Below are 23,314 nucleotides of genomic sequence, written 5' to 3' on the forward strand. Positions count from 1 at the left end.
GAGTAGCTGGGACTAGAGGCACCCGCCACCACGCCCAGCTATTTTTTTTGTATTTTTAGTAGAGACGGGGTTTCACCGTGTTAGCTAGGATGGGCTCGATCTCCTGACCTCGTGATCCGCCCGCCTCAGCCTCCCAAAGTGCTGGGATTACAGGCGTGAGCCACTGTGCCTGGCCAAAACTTTTTTTTAAAAAGGAAAAGAAATACTGGAGGAAGGCAGTGCGTTTTCTTGCAAGGATAAATTATGCCTGGCATTTATCTAAGGCCACAAACACAAAATTTCTTGGTCTGCTAAAAAAAATATGATTAATTTAAAAGGCTCATGTGAAGTGAAGAAAACTGAATTATGGGTTTTGTTTTTTGTTTTGTTTTTGTTTTTGTTTTAGAAGAAGAAGAAAACAAGAAGGGTAAAACTGGCACTTTTCTGAAGTGAGAATAGTAAAAAGAAAGATATCCCCCAAAATCAATTCTTGGAGCAGCCCTATTGTTGTAACACCATGGTTAAGAGCATTGGACTTGGTCATTAAATGCTCAGCTCTACCACCACCAGCTCTGAGACCATGGGAGAAACTATATGACTTCTCTGTGCTTTCATTTCCTCCTATAGTGCTATGAGGATTAAATAAAGTTGATCAAACACTTAACACATTGCCTGCCCCATAATAAATGCACAATACAAAGTAAAATGTCTTCTTCAATCATACTATCTTCATCATTGTTGCCAACATCTAAACACTGATCTGAAGAAAGAACTATACAGTGAGATTTCCAATGTTGCAGGTGATAAAGAGTTGAAGTGGGTAGACCATAGGAAGTGGGGAAAAAAAAAAGGGAGGGGCAGGTGAATTTTGATTCAGGCAGATACAGTTCAAAACATCTGGGGAAGAGGGACTATAGCTTTCTCTACACATAAATACTGGGGAAGACCAAGAAAACAGGAGGAACCAATGGAGAGAGCTCTCTGAAAGCAGAGCTCAAGGTGACTGCTAAACCAACTCCTATGAAGCAAATTTTGATGGCAGAATACTGGATTTGGTGTATCTCATCTAGCAGGAACACCTTGGGCTTCTTTTTGAAGTGAGGCTTCCCATTTTCCATTTCCCACTGCCTCTTACCCTTTTTTAAATTTTATTTTGGCACTTTCTCTGATTTCCCTTATTGATGTCTCTAGAGTAGACAATTGTTAGAATAGAAATATTGCCAATGTATCTGTCAAAAAAGTCATCATTTCCTAACTGCAGTTAATTCAGGAGAGTGGGGGAGACAGAGGCCACTAGAGCAAGTGGGGAACTGAGGTGGAAGTAACTGAGTGGAAGGAGAAAGCAAAATAGGTTGACTGAAAGCGGAATGCCCTCTGGGAACCTTGTGTTCCATCTTTCATTCACTGGCTTCAGGCCCTAGTTTCTAGCCTGAACAAATTCTCTCCAGATGGAGTTAAATCACTAAATTCACTCACTGGCACAGGCTTTTCTTTTCAGTCTTGTCTCTCTGTATTAGCAAACTAACCCATGACCCATGTTATTAGATAAGCCAGAGAAAAATATTCGGGTCTAGGTGTTGTCGTGAAGCTCTTCATGCCAGAGGGTTTACTCTGAAGGGTGGTCAGGGCTTAAGCAGATTGGGAGGAAGGACAAGGGCGTTTCAGGGCTATTAGGCTAGTGAAGAAGGCTGGAGAGGGCAGAACTTGCTCTCAGCATCAGCAAGTAAACCATCTGACTGGTTCACAACAAGAGCACAGGGTAAGCCTGGGAAGCTAGGTTTGTTCATTAGCAGTAAGGTCAACTTAAGGTTTGAAAACAACTATTTTTCTTTTTAAAAAATGAGCCTCTATTGTCTTCCAGCCTTATGCCCCAGAAAGAAGGTGGGGAGGAAGAACCTAATGAAAAAAACATTCCTTGAGGAAACAGAAAATACTTAGGAAAGAGAATAATTTAAATTCCAGTATACATTAAACACACACAAATCAGACTAATTGAAAGCTGTGGGCATCAGTGCCTGGGGGAGAGAAGGGAGGGGGAGTCCAACAGAAAGAGGAGAGAGCCTGCGGACCCAGGGAGGGCAGCCTTAGGAGGAGGCCCTGGAAATTCCCATTCTCCAGGCTTCATAACAGACCTGGGTTCCTCAATTCAATGGTGTCAGATGATGAGAGTGGAGGAGGGTAAGGAGAGGAGATGAAAGAATATAGAAACACCAGGTACAGAATCCTGGACATATTTCACATTTAGCTTAGATTTGAATTCCCAAGATTCCAGACCTCTGAGATCACTCTCTCAACTAAAGCCCTCTGACGTGACTCTCTTCTCCCTCACCAGGACCGTCGGCACCTTCCACTCCATAGATTCCTGGCTATGGGACTCCTTGGATCTTCCTGCAGCAAATAGATACCTCAGACTCAGTTTCACAGAAACAAACAGAACCTAAAATCAAAAGAAAAGGCAGGCTCTTCCTTTCATGCTTGTTGTCTTAGTTTTATTCTAATTCCCCTTAGTTTGTAGGCCAGAAAATGGAGTAAAAATTGTGATTTGGGCTATTTTACATATATTATCTGATAAAGAACTTACATCTAGAATATATTTAGAACTTTTACAAATCTACAATGAAAAGTTAATTAACTCAGTATTTTAAAAAGGGCAGAAGACTTGAAAAGACATCTTACAAAAGTAGATATACAAATGGTCAATAAGCATTTGAAAATGTTCTCACCATCGTGAGTCATCAAGAAAATACAACTTAAAACCATGATGAAATAGCACTTCACACCCACTAGCATGGTTAAAATTAAATAGACTGATAATGCCAAGTGATGGTGAGGGTGTAGAGCAACCGGAACTTGAATACGTTGCTCCTGGGTATGTAAAATATTACAATCATTTTGAGGAAATCTGATGGTTCCCTTATAAAGTTAAACATACACCTACCCTATGACCTATATATAATTCCACCCCTAAGTAATTGTGCAAGAGCAATGAAAACCTATGTCCACAGAAAGACTTCTATAAGAACTTTCACATCAACCTTATTCATATTAGCCAAACACTGGAAACAACCCAATAATTCATTAGGAGGAGAATGGATAAACACACTGTGGCCTATATGTACAATGATACTCTACTCAGCTGTAGCAAGGAATGAACTAAACATACACACAGCAGCGTGGATGAATCTTGATACAACATGTTGAACAAAAGCCAGATGTTTAAAAAAAAATTCTGTAAGATTTCATTCATATTAAATTCTAGAATAGGCAAAACTACATCTATGATGATAGAAATCAGAAATTGGTGCCTAGTTGTGGGTTGGGAAGGGGAGGGATGGATTGGAAGGGGGCACAAGCAGGTTCTCTAGAGTGATGGAAAGGCTCTATAGTTTATTTTTGGCGATGACTACATGGGTGTATAAAATTGTCAAGACTCAGAACTGAATGCTTAAAATATGTGTATTTTGTATGTAAATTATACTTCAGTTTTTAACATACAGTAACGAAAAAGGCCTAGTTCTATAAAAACTGTAAAAGCCTATGTATACTTTAAATTATGCTTTTTTTTTTTTTTTTTTTTTTTTTTTTAAGAAACAGGGTCTCTATCACCCAAGCTGGAGTGCAGTAGCATAATAATAGTGCACTACAACCTTGAACTCCTGGGCTCAAGTGATTCTCCTGCCTCAGCCTCCCAAGTTGCAAGGACAACAGGTGCATGCCACCATGCCTAGCTAATGTATTATTATTTGCTTTGGAGAGACAGGTTCTCACTGCGTTGACCAGGCTGGTCTTGAACTCCTGGCCTCAAGTGATCCTCCCGCCTTGGCCTCCCAAATCACTGGGATTATAGGCACAAGCCACTGCACCCAGGCTAAATTATCTTTTTAAATAATCTATTTTAGCCTCATCAGTCTAACCCCTTTCTTGAGTTAGAGAATGAAGTACTTTTCAAAGATGGGGCTTTAACAAAAACCTACTTTGCCTGCCAACCCAGTGGCTCCCAGATCCCCCAAGGATGCCCCACAATAAGTAATACTGGGTTTTCCTGCTGAGCTCAGCAGTTCTCTAAATTGACCTGAAAAGATGTGGGGTGTGAAGTGAGAACCTAGGGCAGTGAGAGTGATATTTTCAATTTCCCCATTTCTGCTTCAAAGAGAGAAAGTACAATTTAATCTGTTTCTATTTTGCTTGAAGAAAGGTCTTGTTGTTAGACAAAAAAAATGAAATCCTGTGACCCAGACAGCAGCCCCTTGTGAGGGGCTGCTTGGCTTTCCCATCCCAGTGTGTGTACCCCAGCATGGAATATAAGAGCACCGCTCCCACTTGCTTCAATCCATCGTCTGTCTCCCTGTGTCCCTGATGCTCCTGGAGCAGCAGTTTTTGATAACTTGGAAGGTTATGCCATGTGGGAGCTGGCATGAGACCCAGCATCATGAAAACCACTCAACTAAGGCTCTGGGATATATGCTTAGATGGCCTGGGCCATCCTGGAAATGTGTGACCTGGAGTGACACTTTCGTCTCCTGAGAAAAGAGGATGACAGTACACATGCTGTCGCCTTCAAGGGGTGTCATCGGGGTAGCATGAGATAGCAGATCTGAAAATCACTTTTAAAAACTTTTAATTTTGATTCACACAAGTGGAATTATCTAGTTCAGTACTTCTGACTTCCTAGTCTGTGGATGATTGCAGAGATTGTAAAGGAAGTGTAGGATTTAGTCTCGATTTGCAGAAAACTGAGAGTAGACCCAGTGAAGTCATGTGAGTTAAGGTGTAGAGAAATGAACAATTAGCAAGCTGCTATTAAGGCAATGTTTGCATTCATTACATGCTTTAGTATTCATTAGAATCATTAATGCCTTTCAATTGATTAAATCTGCTTGAATTCCTGGAGGTATGCTACACATTTATACTTTGTTTAGTCACTATTTTTAGGTGTCAACCTTTGTAATAGAAGGACAGAATGTTGCACAATAGAACACAGGAACCAGAGCAGGACCCTTGGGTTTGATGGACACCAGCTCTTTAACTGATTGTGTAACTTTGGGCCATTCACCAGGTTTTTCTAGCCCTCAGTTTCTGTTTTTGAAATACTACTTAATTTCTGAGGACCTCTTTAGTTATGAAAATTGTAACAGCAACAACTGTGGGATGGTAGACAAAGTCTTTGCAGTTAGTAGAAGAACTTTATCCCTCTCTGGCAGGGTAAATAACCCCATCTGTCTGTGTGAGGGTCAACTTCCTCTCCTAGAATATGGACCTGGAGATCTCCACCATGCCTGCCTCATTGAGTTATTGTGAGGATTGAACATCAAGGAGTATGCAAAAACTTTATAAGCCATAATTCATAATATGAATGTTTGCTGCTGTTCCTTTGCTGTTGCTATAGGCATTGAAACACTAGAGAGCACTCTTGGAGCCATGTATACAAGAGTGCATGGCAATGTTGCTTAAATAGTCTAAGGGTTGAAGAATTCCAAAGCAGAGACTTAACTGAGGGGTGGATTCATGAATAAGGCTTGGAATTGTGAGCCTTAACCTAACAATCTCTCGTGGACCTGGTGAGCCTGTGCTGATGACAGTGGTTCCCTCACAGGTGACAGCAGAGCTAGACGCCTGGAATGAAGACTTGCTTCGGCAGATGAATGACTTCAACACAGAGGACCTAACCCTGGCAGAACAGCGGCTGCAGCGCCACACAGAACGGAAGCTAGCCATGAACAACATGACCTTTGAGGTTATCCAGCAGGGACAGGATCTGCACCAGTACATCACGGAGGTCCAGGCATCAGGTGGGTGACCTCGCTCATTCTCCTGGCAGAGGAGATGATGAAAACAAGCATACCATCTAGCCTGCAAGGAGCAGTGCCACATCGTTTATTCATTTTATTCCTACAGATACAAAGAATAGAGATTTTTACCCACATTTTTTTTAAAAGAAAGGAAACGAGGCCAGGTGTGGTGGTTCATGCCAGTAATCCCAGCATTTTGGAAGGCTGAGGTGAGTGGATCATTTGAGGTCAGGAGTTCGAGAGCAGCCTGGCCAACATGGTGAAACCCCTTCTCTACTAAAAATACAAAAATTATCCAGGTGTGGGGGCAGATGCCTATAATCCCAGCTACTCAGGAGGCTGAGGCAGGAGAATCGCTTCAACCTGGGAGATGGAGACTGCAGTGAGCTGAGACCATGCGACTGCACTCCAGCCTGGGCAAGAGTCAGATGAAAAAAAAAAGAAAAGAAACGGAAGCCATGAGAGCTGGAATAGTGCCCAAGGTTGCCCAGTTAGGCTGTGCTGAAGTTGGGAATAGGGCCAGGGTTTCCTGGTCTGCAGACAGAGTGAGAGAATCAATGATGGCAATCAGCACAGATTCCTTTAAAAAATGGTAGCCTGGAAAAACAAACCAGAAGCAGTCAGACATTCATATGGATTGTATACACATGTGTAGTTGTTTCCTCTTCTGCTCCCGATCCCTGCTGCCAGCACGCATTCTCCAGCCCTATCCTCTACTCCTAAGCTATCTCCTTGTCTCCGGTTCCTGTTTCTCAGTCTCCTCAATTGTTAATCACTGGTCTTTGGGTGAGTATAAACAGTGATGATAAAAATTTATGACAAGATCATATAATTTTATAACTTCTCAGAAAAACACGGCTGAGTTACTCAGATTTAACTTCTTTTCCTGCTCAAGATTTATTCAAAATTTATCTAACAAATGAGTGAGCCCTTACTATTATACTTCCCACTCCCCAAGTCATCCTTTGATGTTAGAAGGAGAGAGCACCATGGTGATCTTGAGGACCGCTGGTTGAGAAGAAAAGAAGTCACATGGCTGGTCACATCTCAAGGGAGTGCTAGAGCCCAGATCTCTACCTTCCGACCCACTCCACTGCCCTCCTACCGGGGTCCTTGTTGGCTCAGGTTCCTCAGTCTCCAACACGAGGTAGACAGGAGCTAAGGCCATCAACTATAAAACGCAGTTGGGCCATGTCCCTGCTTATCCTGAAGGATATGGAAATCCTGAGATTGTCAGGGGGACCTTAGCAGTCATACTGAACTTTAAAGTACTGTGTTTCTTTCGATGACCTGAAAGAGTAAAGACCAGCATTCAAAGGGACTTCACTCCTGACCAGAGGAGAGACAGTCTAGTAAATTCTGTTCACTTTTGTCAGCATAGTCTGTCCTTGAATTTTCATCTGTGCTGTGAACAGACTGCCTCTGAGACCCAGGCCTGTTTCACAGGTGTGCAGCTGAAACCCAGGCCTATTCACAGGTATGCAGCTAGTGCTCTGTGTAGTCCCAGGAAGGGCTACTCACCTTGCAGTCTGTCTGGGGACTTTTTTTTTAAATGACAGTGCCCAGGCCCCATGCCCTGATATTCTGATTTAACTACCTCTAAATGGAACTTGGGCAACAGCAAAAAGCTCCTCGGGTGATTCAACTGTGTGGCCAGGGCCAAGAACCACTGCTTTTATTCGTGATAATTAAATCACAACATCTGACATCTCTGGAATGACCTAGGACAGTGGCTTTCAAAATGTGATCCCCATGTCAGCAGCATTAGCATCACCTGAGGATGTGTTTGAAATGCGAGTTCAAGGGCTCATACCTGAACTCATTACATCAGAATCCCATAACATACATGTTTGCTGCGGTTCCTTTGCAGTTGCTATAGGCATTGAAACAGTGCATACTCTTAAAGCCCTGTACACAAGAGTACGTGGCAATGTTGCTTCAATAGTCTAAGGGTCAAAGAATTCCAAAGCAGAGACTGATCTGAGAGGTGGATTCATGAATAAGGCAGTGTTGCTTAAATAGTCTAAGGGTGAGCAGAGTGTGGCCCAGCAATCTGTGGTTCAATTAGCCCTCCAGGTGATTTTGTGCACCACTGACCCAACATGTTGCTACTCAGTGTGGGCCCTGGGCCCAGCAGCACCAGCATCACTTGGGAGCAGATTAGGAATGCAAAATTGCTGGCCTTATCCCAGACTTGTGAATCTGAATGTAGATGTTAACAAAATCTCCAGGTAAATGGTGTGTACATTAAAATCTGGGAGTCAGTGTTCTAGGACACAGACTGTACCTTATTAGGGAAGTAGGGGAAACTGTAATCCTTTCTCTGTGATTGGGAATCTTACCTGGACTCGGGATTTAGCCCCATGGCCTGCCCTCATGGTACTTACTGTAGCTGTCTATGCAGCTACGACTGGGAACCATAAGAGAATGCACACACACCATCTAGCAGAGAGATGGACAGAGAAGCTATGCAGGGATGCTCACCCTTCATCTCTCATGGTAGATGTGTCCAGCAGGAAAAGGAGGCTTGTCTGCCTGGAAACCTGCAGCACTTACTACCGGGGTGCTGATGTGACCCTGGGCAAGCCAACGTCTGTCCCAAGAGCCAAGTATCCATAGTAACAGAAAGACAACTGGGAGTTGAAAGTCCCTGAGGACTGCTTATGACTGAGGTGGGCTGTGCTTGGTGTCCACCTAAACTATGAGGGCTGAGTGGGGTGAAAACACCCCAGGCAGATGGGCTGCCCACCCCCACAATATCCTGTTCTAGAAATGAGCTTTGTCAAAAGAGGTTTGGCCTCTTCAGTGCCTCTTACTGAGGCTGGCTGTTCTCCTGCTCCTACCACAGCTAGCTGTTTAGTCTGGCATAGCCCATGAGGCTTTTAAGAGAATGAATCCAGGGGTTTTAGGAATGCTCACTCCCTGTCTATGGCTGAATGCCTGGTTCTGCAGGGGAGGCATCTAACTTACTTCTGGGCTTAGGGAAATGGAGGGTAGATTCACAGCAGAGCTGGAGGGTGGGGATGGGGTAAGGGGTGAGCCCAGGTGGGCCTTATCCCCCAATGGCTGAGGAATGTAAGACTTCAGAGACACAGGACTGAGGCAATAAATGGCTTGGGGATTTATAGTCTTTGTTTAATGGACTGTATTTGGACTAAAGGTAAAATAAACTGTAGTCTTAGAAAAAGGACAATTAGCAATATTAAAACTTTTGTTGGTATTTAGTCCATGCTAAATAAGGGCTTATGCTTTGATTTTACAGTAGCAAATGGAACTAGGGAATTTTTATATGCTTCTTTTCAAGTGTGAAGTTTATAATATTGAGCCAGGCTCTACTAAATCCCTCTGGTGTGCCTACAACTCTAACCAAAGTAAAAGCCTTTGCTTAACTTAACATCAGGCTCAGGAATAGAGTAAACAGGAGCAATTTCTTAATTTGCTCATTGTTCTTTCCTCACAATGGAATCATCTATTTGAGCCTCAAGTTGGGAGATGGTAGGTTTTGCTGAAAGAAGTTGAGAGAAACATGCTGGCTGAATTCAAGGTCCAGTTCCACCACCAACTAGCAGTCTGATTTTGGAAGTCCCTTTTCTTTCTCTTTAGACTTTAGTTTCTTCTTCTGTCTACTGTGGCACGCCTTGATTCCTAAGGTTCCCTCCAGTTCTCACTTTCCGTAATTCAGCCTAGCTGCCCTCATCGGCCAGGCCATACTTCTTCTCTCCCATGAAATCTGACCGTGCGACTGTTACACTTGACTTTAGGAATAAGACAAGAGCAACGTACCCTATGGATATGTTGTTTTTGTGATTTACACAACGCGTTAAGTTCTCTCTTTATACAAGGTTTGTAAATGAGAAATCTCTGGAGTTTGTGGCCATGATACTTAAAATTTACCTTGCCTGAGAAGAACCCAACCCCAACGTTTAAAAATAAATAAATTCTTAAAATAAATCAAGTTTTGTGAGGATCACTCTTCTCCTTGAGCATAAAGGCTAGAATACAAAAGAGGAAATCCTGGGTTGAAATCCCGGCCACATGTCTTAGGACCTGAGTGTCCTTGTACATGTTCGCCTGTCTCTCTAAGCCTTGCCTTCCTCTGAAAAGTAGTGATCATCAGAATCCTTACCACATAGGGTCATGTGAGGATGAAGTGGGATAACATGGGAGGATGGAAAGGGTTCAGTGAAGCTTGGCAACTAGTATATTTTGTACTCCTATTCTAGCACATGCTGCATTCTGTTGAAGTTATTTGTATTCCTGTAGTTTTTCCAGCAGCATGAAGGAACAAATTCTTTCTTCCCTCTTTACATTCCCAGCATCTAGCAGAGCCAGTGTCTTGTGCCTAGCAAGTTCTCAATAGTAGTGTTTGCTGAATTAATCGAGAATGAACATCAGTGTGGGTGGAACAGATGTAGGTAAAAATAATGGAGCACAAATAATTTTACTAGTGTCAAAAAGGAAAGAAAAAAAATCTGTGGGCTTTTTATTTTTATTTTTTTTTCAAAATGAAAGCTACTCTGGGGTGAATAGGAATGTGGATCTGAGGGGCTGAGACGAAGGGAAGAAGAAACCTTGATGTAGAACAATGGTTCTTAACCTGTCGGTAGATTGAGAATCACCTGGGAACTTCTTAAAAATACCAATGTCTGGGCTCCATCCCTCAGGGAGGCTTAGTTAATTGGTCTGGAGTGGACCCAGATTTTTTTTAACTTCCCAGGTGATTTTAAGGTACAACCAGGGTTGAGAACACTGATCTAAAAACCTCATTAAAGGACTTTGTGATTTCTGAACTGAGTGTTAGGTAGAGGGAGTGACACAGACAGAGGAATGGAGAGGGGAGAAGAAAAGAAAAGAGAAAAGATGTTCTGTATCTGAGGCTGATACCAATATTTAAAGAACACAAACAGTTTTTTAAAACATGTTACAAGTATGGGCAGCATAGCCAGAAATATCTAAATCTTACTCTAGACCACAGTCACCTCTCTCCTTGAGGAAATTAAAGTGGTACCCTCATCTGGTAACAAAGGAAAGCAAACTAACGCTTATTATTGTTAGCTGTGGCTTTTAGCCCTAAAGAAACACCAGTGCAGAGCATTCTGCTGAGTGTAGCAGAAGGAATATCTCTGTTTCCTGTACTGTCTTTTCCAGTGGTTCATAATCTTGGTTGCATGTTGGAATCACACCTGGAGCTTTAAGACTTACTAATGGTCGGGTCCCAGCCGCAGAGATTCTGGTGATATTGGTCTGGGGTGTGGTTAGGACATGGTGATTTTTTTTTTTAATTCTCCAGCTGATACTTGGGAAGTTGAGGCAGGAGAATCGCTTGAACCCAGGAGGCAGAGGTTGCAGTGAGCTGAGATCGCACCACTGCACTCCAGCCTGGGCGACACAGCGAAACTCAGTCTAAAAGAAAAAAAAAAATTCTCTGCTGAGTCTGATGTGAGGCAGAGTTGAGAGAAGCAGTCTAACAGCATTAAAGCCACCATTGTTTCCAATGATATACAGTAGGCGAGTACATAAACACCTGTCAGTAAGATTTTATATTTACATTTTATACAAGCCATTCAATAGTTCCATCAGCAATCAAAAGTGTATTCATTATAATTTCTCTGAGGGAAAGGAAAAAGTGAGAAAATGAATATTTTAAGCCTACTAGATGCCAAGCACTGTATACATTGTATCTCACTTAGTTCTCACAATATCCCTGAGAAGTCCTCTTTGTGATTCCCATTTTACAGACAAGGAAATCCAGGCTCAGAGAGGGTAAGAAGCCCAGAGTCTCACCATTCATAGCATACAGAGCAAACCTAAGCCTGTTCTTCCCCCAAGCTCTCAGGTACTTTCCACCACAGCATATGACCTCAGTTCTCTGAAGAGGCTCGTTTGTTCATTGATTAGGTATTTATTGGGTGATATGAGTGAAGCATTGTGCTAGGGCCTGAAGAGGCAGAGATGGATACGACTGACATGGCTCTGGCGTCAAGAAGCCTGCATTCCTGGAACAACATAGATAAGTTAATAAGGAACCAACCTCAATGGAAGTGTTCTGATTGGAGTATGGGCACAGGAAATTGTGGGGGCACATCAGAAAGAAGTCTCAATAGAACTTTTTAAAAAAGAGCCTGACAAATGATTTCCTCACAAATACATTCCGCTACTTGATGGAAAGAGGAAAAATATCTTTTTGCATTTCTAAGAGCCCCTAAGAAAAACAGATATATCAATAGATTGAGAGCAGTAAAGTCAACACAAGCAAACTCTGCCTGCTGCCGATTGACAGATATTTACCATTTGATGGGCTTTAACTAGGACTCGTGTCAGTGTGTTTGGGGGCAGTGGGAGAGGGGGTAATTTCTATTCTTCTAGGTGTGGCTGGAATAAATCTTCATGTTCCTCCCATTTATTCCATCCACAACATGATGTGTTCCTGAGGCATGCAGAGGTGCAATAAGCACTGTCTTCATCCATTTTATTTCCTGTGTTTTTCTCACATAAAACAACATCAAATGAGATGGATGAAAATGCAGGGACTGAGTCTCAGGACATGCTGGGAGCCTGCTCTGTTTGATGTCCTAAGCAGGTGACTGTCCTCTTTGATAAGTAACATGTGGTGTGGCAGAGGTGAGCCATGAGGCTCACAAAGAAAGACATTTTGCCCAAGCCCAGCATCCTGAACACCAGAGACACATACAGAATGAATATGAGCTACAACAAATCCGCATCAAGACTGGAAGTGAGAAAGAGCGTCTGCTTCTGCAGATGGATCTTAAATTGCATTTCCAGAAAGTAAAGATAAGGGTCAGGGGTCATCCCACTATGCCAAGCATTGCAGAGGTAGAAATTTTTGTATTCTTACTTTTGATTTCAGTCAAGGAGGTGCTCTACCTCATCCCCTTGGTAATTGAAAATAGTAACTGGAAGGAGTTGGCTGCCAAAAGAACAAGCCGTTCTTTTCTCTGTCTCCCACAGATATTTCAGGAGCTAGGACTTGGAATTATGAAACAGACACAAAAAATAAACATGAAAAGATACTGAAATTATTACCATGTAACACCAGAAAAAAAAGGTGTTCCCACTTTCCCATATTGTCCTTATATAAAACACTATTTTTGCCTCCAGAGATGAATTTCCCTTAGTATGTACAGACTTTCCTTATACTTCCCCAACTATATGTTGCAGGTGTGTTGGTGGTGGCAGTGATGGATTTCTGACGGTGTGAGTTAGAGTGAGGGGGAAATCTCCCAAATGGGATTTATTTTTTAGGTAGCCATATGTTGAGATTGGCAGGCTCCTTTGGGTTTGATCCCCATGGAAGTATACTACCTTTTGGTGACTTATCTGCTGGGCTTTTAAGTCTGAACCCCATCATTGGTTAGGATCCTGTTCTTCAGCATCTCAGACAAAAGTGTCAGCATCAGGACCAAACCTGCATTGGGTCTAGATTGTTGGATGAGGAGCCAGGGAAAGGACTTGGACAGAACTAAGAAGCTGCAGAGCCAGGTGGACTCAGGGATCAGAATAAGCAAGTAGTTCAGAGTTAGGATTTTCCTAGATCTAAGGATCTGAACAAGGCCGAATAAGAAATATGTAGACAATCCAAATCAAGAAACAACATGTGTCACAACTTGCAACAAGTCGGAGACAGTTAGAAACCAAGAGGACATGAATGTGAGAAGGCAGAAAGTTGAAAGTTTAAGGTAAGAGTTAGGAGTCAGAAAAGCCACAGGACTAAGGAGCAGTGGTCTATATTTATTGTGTATCATGTACATACAGTAATATGTGTATATGAGAGATATTTTACATGCATCATCTCATTTAATCCCACAAGTTTAGGAGGTAGGTAGCTTATGAGGTAGGTAGGTATGTAAATTCATATTTTACATATGAGCAAAATGAGGCTTCTGAGAGTCTAGGTAATTTGCCCAAAGTCAGGATTCCAGCTCAGGACTGTTCCAAAGCTAGTACACTTTCGGGTAGTCTTTGAGAGCCAAGTAAGGAATCAAATTCAAGTTACTAGTGGAGAGAAGGACTTTGGTTACTAAGGCAGTTCCTTTGCTCTCTCTCCGAGTTCGTTCATTTCTGAGGCAGAAATTTATTTGATGAAGGCTACCTTGGGCCTGCTGATGATAACGTATAAATAGGAGAACTGGCATGGTGAAGAGAGGAAGTGTGTGTTTGCACCTGTGCTCATGAATTTGGAAAAGTATATAGGAAAAGTAAGACAAGGAGGTAAACAAGGAATGGGGCAACAGCTTCTGGCTGGCATATATTGACTCAAGGCTCCCATTGTAGGTCAGATGGTTGACAGTTTATTAATGTTGGGTGGTTTATACATAAACATTGGGAACACTTGTCAGTGACTGGCTGAGCTTACTAATTGTAAATCAGTAGAAAAACATTGAGCAAACTCTCCTTGAGTGGGCACAACTTTAACGTGAAGCTTTTTCTAAATGGATAAGCACTCATTATCCCTGTGGTATTGCTGGGTTGTATTTATTAGGTGTGTTTGCCTGAGTTTTATAAATAATATATGAGAGCTAGCTTATATTTCTAACAGTGCCTTTTTTTAGAGGGCCTAAGTAGTTGGCTAATAAAATCACCACTGTCCATGTGCGACACTTGCGGGGAATTTAAAAGGAATTTTTAAAAATCACTATTGTGCAGCTACTCTCATTGAAGTGAACTTACCATCTAATGATAAATTATATCTGACCAGCTAAAAAAAAAAGTGTGTCATTGGCCAAAGTACTGAGACAGTCTTTTGGTTTGGTTTTTGATTTTCCAGTATGATTTAGAGGCTTGTTTGTGAATATTCTGGGTGTTGGCAAATCCCCCAGCAGGAATTGCTGGGTGCTGTCATGTCTAGGGATGGACCTCTATATAACTGTAATTCCTGTTGATAATAAGGAACTGATCATCCGTTGACTCCTCAGGCAAAGGATCAGTTAATACAAAAGAGATGGCGTAATTTTAGCATCCCAAACAAGGGCGCATTGTGGTGCCCAGTTTCACAGAGGAATATTTAGGGTTTGGGAGGGTATGAATAATGGCTGTTTCCAAATTCCAGTTTTCTTATGCATATTGAAGGGAATGTAGCCTTCACAGTACTAGCTGGTTTTTAATTGTTTCCATTTTTTTAAAATCAGGAATTGAGTTGATCTGTGAAAAAGACATTGATCTGGCAGCCCAGGTGCAAGAGTTATTGGAATTTCTCCATGAGAAGCAGCATGAATTGGAGCTCAATGCAGAGCAGACTCATAAGCGGCTAGAGCAGTGCCTCCAATTACGTCACCTCCAGGCTGAAGTCAAACAGGTAAGCCCAGCCCTTCTTCCTTCAGCCTGGGTTTCTCAGCCAGCTGAGCCTGACCTGGGACCTGCTCCTGGTATGAGGTAAGGCATACAGAGCCACAGGTGCCCCTTTAAGTAACCAGCACTTCGAAAATAGGTAAGTTAAGGACTACTTGTATTAGTTTCTGAAAGCTTGGCTGCGGTAACAAATAGACCCAGTGATACAATGGCTCAAACAACAAATGCATGATTTCTCTCTTACAAGACAATCCATTCCAGAGTTGTCTCAGTCACTCAATCTGTTCTTTCTTTCTATCCTCAGTCCTGTCAAGCAGTCCATGGGAAATATACAAATCCTTTATCAATAAATATATTTAGGATGTAGAGTCAGGTTAATTAATTTGGGGCACTGTGTGCCTGACACAAAGTTAATATTCAGTAACTAGTAGCAATTACCATCACTATTTCCAAAGTGTGTATGATTATTATAGGAAAGTTTTCTTGCCATATTAAAGTTGATTTTAAAAAGGAAAAATAACTTATCTGCATGAAGCATTATGCTAGGCATTTTATGCTAGATCTCTAGGAACCTGTGGGAACATACACACAATGACCAATGTCACATTTTAAAAATAGTACAGGCCAGGCATGGTGGTTCATGCCTGTAGTCCCAACACTTTGGGAGGCCAAGGCAAGAGAGTCACTTGAGGCCAGCAGTTTAAGACCAACCTGGGCAACATGGTGAGACCGCACAAAAAATTCTCAATATTAGCTGAATGTGGTGGCACATGCCTGTGGTCCCAGCTAATTGGGAGGCTAAGGAAGAAGGATCACTTGAGTCCAGGAGTTTGAAGCTGCAGTGAGCTATGATCACATCACTGCACTCCAGCCTGGATGACAGTGCAAGACCCTGTTTCCAAAAAATAAAAATTACAAAAAATACATATATTAAGAACAGACTAAGTGGTAATTGTTTTAATTACCTATTTGTACAAAGGTGGGGGTGAAGAAGTAAAAGTATAATAATAGTTCCATTTTGTTGAGTGCTATGGGCCTGTTACACACATCTTCATCAATCCTCACAACCATTCTCTGAAGTAAACTTTATTCTCATTTTATAGATTAGGCCACTGAAGCTTAAGAGGTCAGCAGACCATGGTCACCCTGAGGAGAGAACACACCACCACTCTCCACAGGTCCCGGGGGGGTTCCCAGCAGGGCAGGTACCACATCACTCCTGTGGTTGCCCCTTTCTGCCCCACTCTACCCAAATCATCCTAAGCAAAAAACCATCTTTCTTTTAAACATTTTTTTTTCTTGTCTATAGCAGCTGCTGGAGCTTTTACCTTTTTTCTTCAGAAAACCATAGCTCAGCATGCTGAAACTTTTGGAATTAAGCCTACTGATTTAGTATGAGAGCCAAAAACATCTTATTTTGTTTAATTGATGCTTGATTCCTTATATTAAAGGTATTCCTTCCTCTGATGCCTCTGTCTTAGTTATTATATTGTTATTTATTATAATGAAAAAAACACTGTCTTCTCCACTCCCCATCTCTCCCAATCAGTGCTGAGCCATAGCCCACACATGCCATGCTAAAGATCTGTATTCAGCACAGATTAAATTCCTGAGCCCCAAGCAAGGCCGGGTTACAGTGCTGCCCTCCAGATTGTTTCTGCTTAATGACACTGGGATTACACCTGAGTCTCCAGAGAGACATGTTATTTATAAGGACTTGGTGGAAATCCTAGCAGGCCCAGAACAGTAACGAGTATGCAAATTCTGCAACTTAGTAGTTAAGACTGGACTTTCTTTTCATATGAGAAATCCTTTCTCATTTATAATCTCATTTTAAGAGAACATGCCCATGGGGAGAAGTGGTGTTATGCTTACTTTTCAAATGAGGAAACTAAGGTACCATGGGGTTAGTGCTCCCCAAGGCCTCTTGACTGGTCAGCTGAAACTTCAGCCTAGGCCTCCTAAATCCAAGGTCCTACAGTTTGCCTCTGCTGGCCCCCACTCTTGCCATGTGGTCCCAGGAGAAATAGAAGCCCTCCAACATTATGTGAAGTGAAATGAGCCAGGCACAGAAATACTACATGCATGTGGGAACTAAAAAGGTTGATCTCATAGAAGTGGAGTGTAGAGTAGTGGCTATAAGAGATAGAGAAGGGTAGAGGGGAGGGGAGGATAAAGAGAGGTTGGTTAATGGGGACAAAATTACAGTTAGAAGGAATATGTTCTAGTGTGGTATAATACAGTAGGGTGACTATAGTTAACAATTTATTGTATATTTCAAAATAGCTAAATGAAAGGAATTTGAATGTTTCCAACACAAATAAATGAGGTGATGGTTATCCCAGTTACAATGTGCACTACACATTGTATATCTGCATCAAAATATCACATGTATCCCATAAATATGTACAATTATGTTTATCAATTCAAAATTTAAAAATAAGAATCCTTCTAGCTGAATGGTCTGAGGTTTTCCTGACCTCAGCAGTACCATGTATGAGAGGATAGGAGCAGGCATGGCCTAAGCTTGATGGAGAGGGTGGCACCTGTCTGAGGTCAGCAGGGCTCCAGCAGGTCATCAAAGTCCTCTGCTGCACCTACTTGGTTATTTCCATCAGTGGAAGGTGGCAGGAATGACCATCTGAACAAAACATAACGGGAAAATCATTCCTATTTGACTTTGAAATGAAATATATAAATTTGCTTTTGTTCCTGGGTTTTAATTTATTTTTCTCCAGTATCAGTGGTAAATTCAACTCCCTAATTCTCTTTTCCTTCGCCGATATTAAAATAGAAATATATTTATTCTCCAACTACACATCCTATATAGGAGGAGACTGGGCTGATGATAAGTATTTTGTTAAATAGGGAAGTAGACTGTCTATATATAAATAATCCGGGGTGGACTAATATCTATATACATTCCCATTTATAATTTCATGAGTGGGAAGACAAAAAAGGAATTCTTTTGTGGGGGTGGGAAGATTCCTTATTTCTACCATGACAAAAATGACACACCGTGGGACTGTCGTTCAAGACTGTACAAAATTGCTCAAACCAGATTCTCAGGAAATCTACCAAGCCCTTTGCAAAAGGGCAGTGGCCCTCGAGGTGCCAAGGGACTGCTGCTTGGTTAAGCCACCATGCCTCATTAGACAGACTTGTTTTCCTTGTCAGTGTAGGCTCTTTCCTTAGGGAGCGCTTTGATCCAGTTTCAGAGAAGGCATTTGTGTTTGATGGAAATTGGTGGAGCGGGAAATACTGATTTGGAAGCTGTTGACTCTTGGAAAAAGGGAGTTAATTTAGATGTCGGTATTGATCAGTGATGCTAAATTTAGACAGTAGCTTGAGAGTCTCTTTTGAATATAGTCTCAAAAAAGAAAGAAAAAGGACACTTTAATTGAAATGCCATTAATGGGGGCAGAGAGGGAGAGGACAGTAATAGATTATGATACAACTATGTCATTAGAGCTCATAGATTAAAGGTTTAGATTTGATCATGGCCCATCATAACCTTAAGTTTTACCAAAATTATATTAAACTGAAGTACTGAAAAGAAAGGAAGGCACAGACGTTAGACTAAAAATTATGTTAATGGACTCAGAACAAATGAAATTGATTGATGCAACTTATTTTCTTTCTGAGGGTTTATGTAGGACTTTATATCTAAGATAGATAGCCCAAACACCCCTAGAGAAATGGTGGACCTTGAAGGGAAACCACTCCACTGATTACAGCCCATGGAGCAGATCCCTGAACCACTCAATGCCAAATTACTCTCCAAACCCGAAAGAGTGCTCTGATAGCTACCAGGAAAATTACTACTATGGTGAAGATGACCTCACATCTATTAGACAATTCAGAAAGATTTGAAAGACCTACCTAATGAGCATAAAACTAAATGAATTTCCATATGTATTCCTGCAAAGCAGTGCATTTAGCAGAAAATAAGCTAAAATGGATTTATAAAATGTTGTGTCTCTAAGCTATGAGGAAAGAAGTTATATTTATTTGATTACTAAAGACATTGGCTTAATTTGCTTCTTTGCACCAAATGCTGGCCAAAATTTGCATATAATCAAGATGGACATTTAGGACAAAGGAGAAAATATTAGCATGTCCTTATTCTCCTGTGGAGAATACTGTGTTCAGTTTTGTTGGCTGAATATAAAAGAGAGGAATTGAAGTAGATCCAAAAGAGGGGCAGCCAACAGGACAAGTACTATCCTTTTGTTTCAAAATGGAGATAATTAAGAGGACATATGGCCACGGTCTATAAAACCATGAAGGATGAACATGTGCAGTCTCATAGACCATGGATTTTTAGAAGTAAGGAACACTGGACATATGACAGGCTCCCTGCTACCATCTGAGGAGCTGATTATTTTTCCTGTGGCTAGCGTTTCAGAAACAACTATGCCTTGTGATAAATCATCTACAATAGTGGTCCTTAGAGTCAGTTGCCTTGAGTACAACCTCAAAGCTTTGCTGTAGGTATGACCTTGAGAACACAGCCATCTACAGGCGGCTTCCCAGCCTACATGGTTACAAGGCTCAGCCTGCCCAGCTTAAATGGCATCACCATTTGTGGATATCCACATCCACTTAATCAAATCCATTCTCCTGACTTGGGCTTAGCTGAGCTTTCCTGACATGAAGAAGCAATAAAGATCTTCATGTCCAGTTCCCCCTCAAGCTCAGACTGAGCTGAACTTTTGGCCTAGCTCTTAAGTCCCCAAGTAGTGATATTCTTTCAGTCCTTCATTTCTACTAACTGATTTTCTTGGATACCCTATAGATGTAGGGGCACTCTTTGAGTTTTGAAAGTAGTGTGGAATGTTAGAACTGGAAATTATCTTTAAAGATCATCTAACCTATTAGGTAAATTGTTGCCTAGAATGATTGATCAATGTTAATATTCATTTTACAGTTTGAAAAATGCTTTTACATTAATTATTTTATTTTCTCTTTACCCCATCCCTTATGCAAGGAAAGTGTTCACATTTTACAGATGAGAAAACTGAGCCTTAGGGAGCTTAAATGATGTTTGCAATGTCACACAGCTCAAAATTAGTAGAACCAACATTTTCTCATTTTAATTATGATGTTTCTTAACTTGCACATATTTGTATGCTCACAGAAGAATAACTAGCCAGTTTTATGAACCTGGAAGATTAAAAATACCAGTAATAGAAAATTATACCAACAAGGGTTATCAGTGATCAGAGTAAAAGGATAATGATGACAAAACAGCTAAGGAAGCTACATCACATCAGAATATGCCAGTAAGCTCATACAGATTCTGGAATAAAGCTGTCTTCTCATTAAGAGAGGTATAAATAATCACATCATTATCCAGCTTTTCTCTAAACTAAAAATCACCACCAGTACCATCATAATCATCAGACTTTACATTTTACACATTGTTGCATCAACCCTGCAATGCAGAAAGGGAAGGTACAATTATCCTTATTTTACAGATGAGAAAACTGAGACTCAGAGGGGTTAAGTGATTTTGCCAGGTAAGTAAAAAAGCCAGATTTCTGACTCCAAATTTTATGTTATTTCTCTACTATGCCAGTTCTATGTCCAGGACTGACTCATTCCTAGGGTTCAGCCCCACCCTGGAGCTAAGCCATAGATATAAACTACCATGCATTTTTAGCTTCCTAAAATCAAATCTCCCACTTTAAAGTCCTGGAATACCTTTTTAAACAGCATTTAGTAAATAAAAATGAATAAGGAAATGATGTTATATAATTTAAAAAGTAGGTACTGAAACCCATGATGTTTCTAAATGGGAAGCTTGTAAGTAGGGATCCCACCACCATAGCTATAACTCATGCTTCCTGTTGGCTGAAACTGGAGAGAAAAATTTTCTAACAAAACTGAAGAGACCCAAAGGGAGTCAAATTGTCCTACAGACATTGATGTGTGATGCACTTGGAGAAGTGGTTTCTCTGACACCCTCAAATGAATCTTCAGACCAAACAAAATGCAGTGAATCATGGCAGAGGGACACTGTGAGCTCCATTTCCCAAAGAGATGAGGCATTTGGGCATGCAGTCTGTGAATGCAAGTGCCCAAAGTTACAGGCAATTTTTCAAAATCATTAGCACCTCTAGCCAACCAGCCACAGTCCACCAGTGACAACAGGGATTTCACGCAAACACTCTGAGCAGTTATTTCCTGTAACTAATTGCTTTACAGATTGGCATCTCATCTACAATCTGCTAGCTTGGCCATGAATTAACATCTCAATCCAAGTAGCCTAGCTTCAGTGGGATTTATGACCTGATGTTATCTATGCACAATAAGGCATGAGTCATTTTTTGCCCAAGGATGAAATTTGAGAGGTGCCTATGAGTTCTAGAGCACGAGACTGGGCTTGGTATTTTCTAATTGTTCAATGTGAGGAAGTAGAGGGGAGAAAAATATGAAAGCAAATCTGAAACAGATAGTGGTGTCTTCTCCTTTGGCATGAGGTGACAGATGGGTGGTATTTACTGATCTTGAATTTTCAGAATAGCTTTTATTTCTTCTCCAAGAAAACTCTCAGACTCCCTAATAAAGAAAGTGTTTGGCAATGTTCTGGTGACCAGACACCAGGTAGGTTTTCAGAGCCTAACTCTTCCAGTTGCATTATTTGCTCTGACTTTATTAGCTGGATAATTGCCACATCCCCATTTCACCTAGAACTGTCTAGACAGTGTCAGCTGTTTCTTCTTCTATCCTAATATTCCCTCGTTGAGTTTTCTTTCTCCCAGTGATTGTTAACATCACATAGAAGTTGTATTCAGCCTACCCATGGCCTCTAAATAATTTAAGTCAATTATATTATAGCTTACTCCCCTTTTCCTGATGATCCAGAATATGGGTTATTACTTCTATTTTGCTTGTTTTCTTTCTCTTTTCTCCTTTTTTGGGGTTGTTTACCTACTGAAGTTCAAACCTGCCTACTCTTGGTTATTTTGCAAGGTAGAGGAAATTAGACTCACTGCTCAGGTGTGACCTGGGTATTCTCGATTACTTCAAAAACTACACCACACCCATTATATGCAAAGTACTGTGATAGGTACTATGTGAGACTAAAATACAGCTAATATATTGCCCCAGATTTCAGGAAGTTTATGTTCTCAGTGGGGAATGAAACATAGGTTGAAATAAAGAAACCAGGAAGTCTGTGGTGAATACCATAACGGTGGTACATACAAAATGATATGCTTGCACTAGATGAAGAAGAGATTGTTTCTAGCAGGAGAGATTAGGTGCAAAAGATTTCCATAAGTTGTTGTTATTTGAACTGGACCTTATAAAAAAAGAAAAGGATACCAACAGATGGAATTTATTTATTTATACCATCCTATGTTCCAGAAGGAAGTTTAGACATGCATACAGTACAACCACATTAAGTAATGTTTACACTATGTGGGTGAGGAAATTGGGACAGAGGGGTGACATGGAGCTGGGAATAAAGCAGGTACATAAAATAAGTACCTTATGGCACAGGTACTCTGTATGATTGGGGAGATGACCATTTTGATTATGGTGACATTTGCTGTCCTCTCTCCAACAGAAGATAAAAGATAGTGAGCTCTCCAACTGAAGTCCCCATGAGAGGAGGCAACAGCTCTGGGGAAACTGCGGAAGGCCATTCACCTGTGTGCTTGTCCCGATTCCCTAGGTTCTGGGATGGATCCGCAATGGAGAGTCAATGCTCAACGCCAGCCTGGTCAATGCCAGCTCTTTGTCGGAAGCAGAGCAGCTGCAGCGGGAGCACGAGCAGTTCCAACTGGCCATCGAGGTAACACCCAAATCTGGCTGCACTGTCCTCCCTTCGCCTTTCTGCTCTGTACCTCAGGCAGGGTGATTCTCAGGTGTGGGTGTTCCTTCAGGCAGCGAAGGCTGTACCCCTTCTAGTAGAATGGTCCAGGGAGCCTTCCTCTTACCCAAGAGTTGATAGGGAAGCAAATGCAAGGGTTCATCCCCCAGGGAGGCCTGGTATTAGAAAACAAGTATTCACACTTCATATGAGAATCTTTGTTACCTATCAGTACCTTCAACCTTTAAGGCCACTGGTACATTGGTTTTTTTATACATTCTAAATATGTACCATGTGAGGAAATGTAAAACTAAAAGTTTAGAAGTCACTTCTGGTGCAAATCACTCAGGTTTGAGGATAAACAAGTGCAAAGGTCATTATAAATTAGGATCCTATTTTTAACCATTTGGTTTACATG

At 41.4% G+C, this 23,314-nt stretch overlaps 1 protein-coding gene across 40 annotated transcripts in view, besides 1 other annotated feature; it reads left to right on the forward strand.

Annotated features, from left to right (window-relative positions):
- The window catches only part of KALRN (kalirin RhoGEF kinase), a 692,957-nt gene that overhangs the window by 374,529 nt on the left and 295,114 nt on the right, over positions 1–23,314 (forward strand). For all 40 annotated transcript variants that reach the window (NR_170953.1, NR_170952.1, XM_006713810.4 and 37 more), the window contains 3 exons: positions 5,573–5,768; positions 14,915–15,081; positions 22,759–22,878. Coding sequence is in view for 38 of the 40 variants with exons in the window: in XM_006713810.4 (XP_006713873.1) it covers positions 5,573–5,768; positions 14,915–15,081; positions 22,759–22,878 (483 nt within the window). In the remaining 2 variants the exon portion in view is untranslated. The remainder of the gene's footprint in view (positions 1–5,572; positions 5,769–14,914; positions 15,082–22,758; positions 22,879–23,314) is intronic.
- Positions 1,681–2,880: an enhancer, noted in NCBI's record as "BRD4-independent group 4 enhancer chr3:124128425-124129624 (GRCh37/hg19 assembly coordinates)". NCBI's record gives its function as "activates an origin of replication core promoter dependent on BRD2, P300/CBP, MED14 and CDK7 cofactors, and independent of BRD4, by STARR-seq in HCT116 cells {active_cell/tissue: HCT116}" and the evidence as "EXISTENCE:reporter gene assay evidence [ECO:0000049][PMID:35650434]".

The sequence above is a fragment of the Homo sapiens genome, chromosome 3 (assembly GCF_000001405.40).
Source record: "Homo sapiens chromosome 3, GRCh38.p14 Primary Assembly".
Classification (NCBI taxonomy): Eukaryota; Metazoa; Chordata; class Mammalia; order Primates; family Hominidae; genus Homo; species Homo sapiens.